Genomic DNA, 8,679 nt, shown 5'->3' with positions numbered 1-8,679 from the left:
AAACATTTTGATCCAAACCCACTCCTTCTTTAGACAATTTTTCTTTTGCTATGACATTTCCAATCCGTGGACTGTAATGAATTTCTGGACAGAGCCATGCTTCTCAAATTTCTAGCCAACTGGAGAATTATACAACATGGTGTGATCTTGTCTCTCAGAACCAGATCTCCATCACTTAGTGGTTTTAATCATTGTAGTACTCCTCACCCTCTTACTTTCAACTCATTATATGGAAATGATTTAATAATAATTCTTGCTTTATGACTTATTCTCATTTGTAGTACATAAATCATTCCCTCTTCTTCTTTCCCGCCTCCCTTTCTCCTTCCCTTCCTCCCTCCCTCCTTCTTTCCTTCCTTCCCCCGTCCTTCCCTCCCTCCCTTCTCTCCTTTTCTCTTTTCTCCTTTCTTGGTTCATCTCTCCTTTATCTTCCTTTACTTTCTTCTACTTATACCTCACGTTCACAAAAATGTCACCTCGACAATATGTTATAACTACTTGTGGTTTCCCCTTCATTTCATTTCTCTGCCTTCTTGGCTTAAAGCAAGGACCCCCCCTAAATTTGTGGTTGTTAAATTTGTGGTTGCTTTAATTTTGATAAAGTTTATGCATATATTCTTTTTTTTAGACAGGGTCTTGCTCTGTCTCCCAGGCTGCAGTGCAGTGGCATGATCAAGGCTCACTGCAGCCTCAACCTCGCCAGGCTCAAGTGATCTCCCCACCTCAGCCACCCAGCGTTGCTGGGACTATAGGTGCACATCACCATCCCTGGCTAAATTTCATATATTTTTGTAGAGATGGGGTTCGCCATGTGCCCAGGCTGGTCTCAAACTCCTGGGCTCAAGAGATCCACCTGCCTCAGCCTCTCAAAGTGCTGGGATATGTATATATTATTTAAAAATATATATTTTTTAATCTAAGTTTTAAACTTAAAGCATATTACGTTGTTTGTAATATGTTTGAACTTGTTTAATATGTTGCAAAGTTTCATGTATGTTTTATGCTATCTCCTGGCTGATTTATTTTGATTGCAATGTAATATTTTATTGCCTTAATCTACTACAAAGTTTCACCTATAATTTGGGCTGAGCCCTGGTTGATTCCTTTTTGACCAGAGTATATTTCATTGTAGTAATATGCTAATATTCCAACAGCCCAGGATTAGCAGTGAGGTACTGCCTCAGGAATGTAAATTTCCCACAAGTTTAAAAGAAAGCAAAAATGTCTTTGTGTAGGTAGAAACAAAAGGAGTCCTGTTAGCAATTCATGTGAGGAATTAAAGATTTTTTTTAAATATCATATGGTTTACCTTTCCGATACATAAGGCAATAATGACAATAACAAATAAACAAATTGAAGTTCTCTTTCTCCTTGAATATAAAGGGAAATTATAAAAATGAAAAAAAATTAAAAAAGAGATCTCATTGTCCATTGATTGTTTTTGTTTGGTTTGGTTTGGTTTTGCTTTGCTTTGTTTCTGCAGAAACAGTAACAAGTCTCTAAAGGAGCTTATATTAGAAACAATACATCAACATTTACTAAGGAAGCCAAAAAATGGACTGAATGCTTCAGTATTCCAATTACCCTTTAAAACTAACTAACAAGTTGCTTATTCCTGTTCCTGACATCTAAAACAGTCTGGGCACTTGTATGTGCTTAATCCGTATTTCTTAAAATGAGGAATGCCTCACTATTCATAAGAAAGTGAAGTCATAATTTTTTCATTGGATAATTTATGTTATAATAGTGTCCTTCATAATTGGAGAAGTTGACGAGAAGGATAAATAATAAAATGACTACTGGGAGATTTTTACCATCACTAAGTTCCTCTTTATGCCTTTTTTCATAGAGGGCTTCTATCATCTGCATTATGCAAAGTATGAGATAAACAACGCTAATGATAAATATAATAAAAAGTGTAAACTAATAGAGCAGTGTTGGTTTAGTAAAGAAATACTGAGGCCAGGCATGGTGGCTCATGCCTATAACCCCAGCCCTTTGAGAGTCCAAGGCGGGTGGATCACCTGAGGTCAGGAATTCGAGACCAGCCTGACCAATATGGCGAAACCCCGTCAAATTAGCCGGGTGTGGTGGCGAGTGCCTCTAGTCCCAGCTACTCAGGAGGCTGAGACAGGAGAATTGCTTGAACCCTGGAGGCGGAGGTTGCAGTGAGCTGAGATCGTGCCACTGCACTCCAGCCTGGACAACAGAGTGAGATGCCATCTCAAAAATAATTAATTAATTAATTAAAAAATAAATAAATAAAATAGTGAAGGAATACAGAAAAAAATCTATTTTCTTCCCCATAATGGCAATTTTACAGATTTTTTATGTGAAGTTGCATTTCTTTTTTGCATGGAAATATGTAAGTTTTATTTTAAAGTAATTCCCTCTCCACCTAGGGTGTATAAAATGTTGCCCTTGAAGTAGGTGTGGTCTGTAGGATGAAATGGAGGCTGGTTGCACCCTTTGCACAGTATGAGCTCCAAATCCCCCTATGACAAATGTAATTCCAAGAAGAAAGCCCTTTGTGAGCTCGGCTGTTGGAGACATGCAATCGATACAGGAAGACAGTTTACATATCTTCCTTTACTCCCAGTTCAATTACAAGCCCATGGAACATGACTGGTGCATGAATATTTCCTAATTAAATCTACTCTGATTTTTTAAATTAGGAATTTAGCTGTGGTGTTCAGTCACCAAATCTTGCTACTGTTTTTATTGCAGAGACCTACTACTTAGAAGGCACTTGAAAACAGTGTGCTAATAATAAATTGTGAATAATAAACAGCAAAGACATGGCAGCTGGTGGTGGCATTTAAATTCCTCAAAAAATGTTATTATCATTCCTTGAGTGCCTACAAGGTTGCAGACAACTTGTTAAAGTTTTTTCATTCATTAGTTCATTAAATCACTACAATGGCATCCTGAAGTGACTCTTATCCCTGTCTTACTTGTGAGGGAATTAAAGTCCAGGAAGATTACAGCACTTTGCTTGGGATAGGAAATAGCCTAACTACGATTAGGGTGGAGGCTCTCACGTCTATGCCTTTGATTATAATCATTGCCACATCCTTGGAATGCATCACTTACATGCCTTTATGACCATAAAGCAAGCAACTCCTTCCTTTCTTCTTCCTAGCCCCTGTCTGTCATTTATTTATGACTGTGGTGGCCAGAAAGACAGCATGATATACTTATTCCATAGGATGGCACATCTAACTTTCCTGAAAGATGCAGTAGAATGCATCGTGACTTAGGAGCAAAATGCATCATGCCTAGCTTGGATCAACAGTGAACTCCAGAGGAAACTGCAGGTGCTGGGCTTGAACTCATGGTGACTTCTAGGAAAGGGATGAAAACTGACTTTCTGTGATAGATTGGATCATTTGTCCCTCAAAGACATCCACTTCTTGACTTCTGGGATCTGAATATGTTCACCTACATGACAAAAGCCTTCACAGATCTGGTCAAGTTAAGGGTGTCAAGATGACAGGTCATCTTCAATTATCCAAGTGGTCTCACTTTTATCACATGGATCCTTATAAGACATAGACAAGAATGTCAAAGAAGAGAGGAGATTTGGTGACAGAAGCAGAGATGGAATGATGTGCTTTGAAGGTAAAGGAAGAGACCATGAGTCAAGGAAGACTCCAGAATTTGGAAAAGTCAGGGAATGGATTCTCCCTGGAATCTTCATAAAGAACCAGCCATACCAACTCCTTGAATTTAGCCCCCTAAGACTCATCTCAGACTTCCAATCTCCAGAACTATGAAAGAATCAATGTGTGTTGTTTCTTAAGCCAATGGGTTTGCAGTAATTTCTTATAGCAGCAACGTAAAACTCATACATCCTCCCATCAGGCAAACTTAGTCACCTCTTCATTGTGGACCAATTTGGAAATGATTTCTTTTTTGCATTTATCAGTAGTCTAGTCATTTATCTAAAGGAGAGCTGTGCAAGAGATTAAATTGCACAGGCTTTTCTAGCCAGTGAGTCCTGTACCTCCCTTGAAAAACCAGATGACTCAGAGAGTTCTTACTTATTTCAATCAAAGGCAACTAAAATGTAAGCCAGGCCTCTCTGCATGTCTCAGGTCACGCAACTTAGAACTGCAGTTTATAGATAAGGAGCCCAAAACACACTGAGTTATAAATCAGAGACTTTATTTTAGTCTTCATTTCACCTAATACATATTCCCTACAGGTAACTGAAACAATCTCTGGAGATTTTTAAGGACTGATTTGATTTTTTTCTCTTTCTTTCTTTCCTCCTCTCTCTCTTTCTTTCCTTCTCTCTTTCTTCCTTTCTTCTTTCTTTCCTTTCTTTCTTTCTTTCTTTCTTTCTTCTTTCTTTCTTTCCTTTCTTTCTTTCTTCTTTCTTTCTTCTTTCTTTCTTTCTCTTTCTTTCTTTCTCTTTCTTTCTTTCCTTTCTTTCTTTCTTTCTTCTTTCTTTCTTTCTTTCTTTCTTTCTTTCTTTCTTTCTTTCTCTTTCTTTCTTTCTTTCCTTTCTTTCTTTCTCTCTCTCTCTCTCTCTTCTTTCTTTCTTTGTTTTTTAGAGACAGGGTCTTGCTCTGCCACCCAGGCTGTAGTGCAGTGGCATGATCACAGCTCACTGTGGTCTCCAACTCCTTGGTTCAAGAAATCCTCCTGCCTCAACCTCCCAAGTAGGTGGGACTGCAGCCTTGCATCACCACATCTGGCTATTTTTTAATTTTAATTTTAAGAGATGGGGTCTTGCTATGTTGCCCAGGCTGGTTTCAAACTCCTAGCCTCAAGCAGCTCTCCTGTTTTGGCCTCCCAAACTGCTGGGATTACAGGTTTAAGACCTGATGCCTGGCTCATTTTCTTTTTGCTTTTTCTTTTTCATCTTCTCTCTTCCCTTGAAAATGATAGTGTGCAGTGCTATATAGAATATGATTCTAACACAGTTGTTCCCAAACTTGAGAGAATATCAGGAGCATCTAGAGGGCTTGAAAAAAACACAGATCACTGGGCACTGTCCCAGAGATTCTGATATTGTGTGTCTGAGGTGCAGCCAGAGAATTCATGGCACCAGGAAATTCCCCAGGGATGACAATGCTTTCTCTCTTGGTAGGATACTTTGGAAACTACTACATTTGTTTTTAGTCTACTTGAATGAACCAATGCAATGATTATCAACCTGGGGTATTTTCTACACCCCTGCCCACCCCCCCATCCCCCACAATGACACTTGACACTGTCTGAAGACATGCCAATTGTCACATCTTTAAGGAGGGAGAGGTATTGCTACTGGCATCTAGTTTGTGCAGGCCAGAAATGCTGCAAATCATCCTACAATGCAAAGAGCGGCCCCTACCACAAAAAAAAATCATCTGATGCAAAATGTCATTGGCTTATGGGTAAGATATTGGGCTGCCTATGTTGATGTCTTCACATGCTGTAACTTTGCACCTTTGACTAATTTTCTGAATGCCTCTATACCTACCTCCATTTATTAACTGATTAAAAAGAAATAAAATGTTAATAGATTTCTACAAAAGCTGAAGCGAGATAATGCTACAAATTGTCTAGCAGATTATAAACTCACAGTAAAAATGGGTTGACGTAAAATATATCTCTCCACTTCAATTACACGTTTTTTCCTTCTCAAGAAATGTATGACAGAATGAAAATGGGCTGAGGTGTTGACTTGGTTGAGCAATCTGCCGTAACAATCTCCCAAATTCTCACCCTGCAAAAATGATCATTGACTCATGTTTAAATGATGGGCTTTGAGAATTGTGCAATGACTTCTTTCTTGGCCCCCCCGATAGAAACTATCTGATACTGCCCTGGAAAACAAACAAACAAACAACAACAACCAAAAAAACCAGAATTAGGATCAAACCTCCAGAAATCAGTTCCACTTTCCATTTGGCAGAGTCAACAAGCATATCTTATTTGTAGCTCTTCACCGCATATATTAAATTTCAAAATGAACCCACCAGGGTTAGAGTCCACATAGAGATGTCTTTTACAGAAATTTGTCCATGGTTTTGCTAGGTACATATCAGCCCTTGTTTAAGCATTGGAAAAGCATATTTTTAAGGACTGTGTGCGTGTGTGATTTAAGAGGTTTTGTTTTTTTTTTGAAGCCTCTTGATGTTATAAAATTTATGGTTTTTAAAATGGCATTCTCCAATGTCTTTATCTCTAGGGCCTGCTGTTTTGATATTTAATACATGAGATGTGTCAGATAGAACGTGGAGTAGGAGGATTGCCTATCAAAATTACAAATGACATGGAGCCATTATCCTGGGGAACTTTTCAAAGAAAGTAGCAGAAAGTACAAGGTGTTTTTATGGGGCTCTGACACCCGTCTGCTTTGAACTCTGTCCTCAACTCTTAATTGCTAGTAGAATGTGTCTCCAGATGAGCCCTTTGATAGTTCTGTCTTTGCAGACTTAGCCTACAGGGGAGTAAACAGCCTTTATTTTTTGCATAAGAGAGTCTTCAGATGCAACATTTATAAATACAAGAAGCAACCTGTAGGGCACAAAAAAGAAAAAAGATGATTCTGCATGTTAACTGGTAGAGAATATTCTGAGCGCTGTTGCCTGAGTAAAGATAAGGAAGAGGGACCATGCTGTGCCTCTGCAGAGACTTGCCTGTCTGGAGCTGAATTTGCTCGGCAAAATTGACTAGGATTATTTGATCTGAGTTAGTTTCTCTCCGAGGCAGGTGTGGGCACTAACGTGTCTGTTGGGGCTCCATTGCTATAATGGAATATGGCAAGGAGAGGGCCCCTAGGAAGTGATTATTCTGAAACTTCAGCAGTTGTTTATCTATATTTTTTAAAACAGGCTCAGCTTTTAAATGAGTGCCACTAAGAAAGGGAATCAATGGCTTGGATTTCTTGAAAATATTGTAAAACTTCACCAGGCTAGTCTGTGTTACTGTAAGTGCTGTCTTCTCTCATCTTATAACTGTGGAAGCAGTATTACAACAATTACATGAAATGTCCTCTGTAACCTACTTTTCCCTGGTTATTCTTTTACTTATATAAAGTATCGTTCACATCTTTTAATGTGGCCAACCAAATCCTCTGAGGCATAGAAACATGCCATCCATTTTCTTTCTAAACTTTTAATTAAATGCCAAAAGAATTTCCCATCAAGTCAAAAGCAACAAAGACAAAAATGGACCTCCCGACTTGATCTTGCATTCTGTTCTACAGACTCCAGATCTCTCTTCCTTTTAGCAGCTAAACCACATAGAAAAACTGAAATCTCAGACTTTACCACCATACAATTTATCCATGTAACCAAAAACAACTTGTACCCCCAAGCTATAGAAATATATATATATATATATATATATATATATATATATATATACACATATTTCTTCTGTTCATCTTCACTCATACGGATGTTAGATTCTCTTGCCTTGACCGCTACAAATACTTGTTTTTCTTTTGTGAAGTCTTATGGCAATGCTGCTAATCCGTATCATGCCCTGTATAAAACCCTTTAGTCTCCCCCTGTTGCTGTAGGATCAGGATCAATCCCCTTAGCTTGGCCTATAAGAATCCCCATGATTCTTCTCTCTACCAAGTCACCCTCCAGCTCAAGTAAATTTCTCTGTTCACCAAATATTTCCTTTATTCATCAATTACATGACACCAGGTATATTGCAGCTCTCATATTCAATGCCAAGAATAATATGATAAACACATCATACAGAACCTCACACTAAACATGGGCTCCATGTTTGATGAATGTGCCGTTTAATTTGGGAAAGTGGATTCTCCATGAGAAGGCAGCCTAATCTGCTGGTTCAGTATCAAGAAAGATAAATAAGTCAGCATTGGTTACCAAGATATAAGGATCAACTCATTTATCTGACTTGCTCTTCCTGTATTTTCACCAGCTGTTTCTTGACTATGACTTGGTCTCCATGATGAGTGTGCTCAAAGGGAGATCCAGCCCTGAAAACGAGGCACTAACACCTGCTCTGTAGGTTCTTGTATTTATTGTTATATAATAAAAAATGCTCTACGAACTGGGGTTCTCACTTTACAATAATTCCTTACCAAACTTTCACAGCATTGTGAGCACACATGGACGAAAGCAACAAATAGTGAAGGAACAGGCTGGATATCACAAATACCTGGACCAATCAAGATATATCATTTTCCTTCTCTTGCATTTAGGGATGTTTCATTTGATTTTTTACAACTTTAAATGATATTTTTACAAAGTTTGCTTTGTCATTTATTTCACTAGAAACAGATTTAATCAGAAAGAAGATCAAGATGAAGGATAAAATTCTAATTAAAACAACATTAACCAACATTAATTTAGGGAGTGGTGGCCAGAGAAGGACTGGAATATTCTAGTAGTCTAGGTTGGCCAATTTCCTTCACTTATTTATACATGCACGAATAAAGCATGCCTCATTTATTGTTTGCACAAACCGTATCAGTGCTAATATTATAGCTGTATAATTGAAAGATGGAAGAAATGGAGAAACCATCAGATAGAAAACTCCAGGCAGAGTTTTCTTCCTATCTTAAAGCTCTATCTCATGGGTGTGCAGAATAAATAAGCAAGAAGGGAATAAGAACAGTATTTAAAAGTCAAGAAACACTCCTGTTCTGACAGGTTGCCACAGAGGTAATGTCTGTAAGCTTTTCCATTTTTCTCTTCAGAT

At 38.2% G+C, this 8,679-nt stretch overlaps 1 annotated feature.

Moving 5' to 3' along the window:
• Positions 261 to 839: an enhancer, noted in NCBI's record as "H3K27ac hESC enhancer chrX:4393267-4393845 (GRCh37/hg19 assembly coordinates)". NCBI's record gives its function as "activates a minimal SCP1, AML or CMV promoter by ChIP-STARR-seq in primed H9 embryonic stem cells {active_cell/tissue: H9 hESC(primed)}" and the evidence as "EXISTENCE:reporter gene assay evidence [ECO:0000049][PMID:30033119]".

Source organism: Homo sapiens, chromosome X, assembly GCF_000001405.40.
Source record: "Homo sapiens chromosome X, GRCh38.p14 Primary Assembly".
In the NCBI taxonomy this organism is placed as follows: Eukaryota; Metazoa; Chordata; class Mammalia; order Primates; family Hominidae; genus Homo; species Homo sapiens.
Note: the sequence above shows the minus strand (reverse complement) of the source record. Positions and strands in the feature narration are given on the sequence as shown.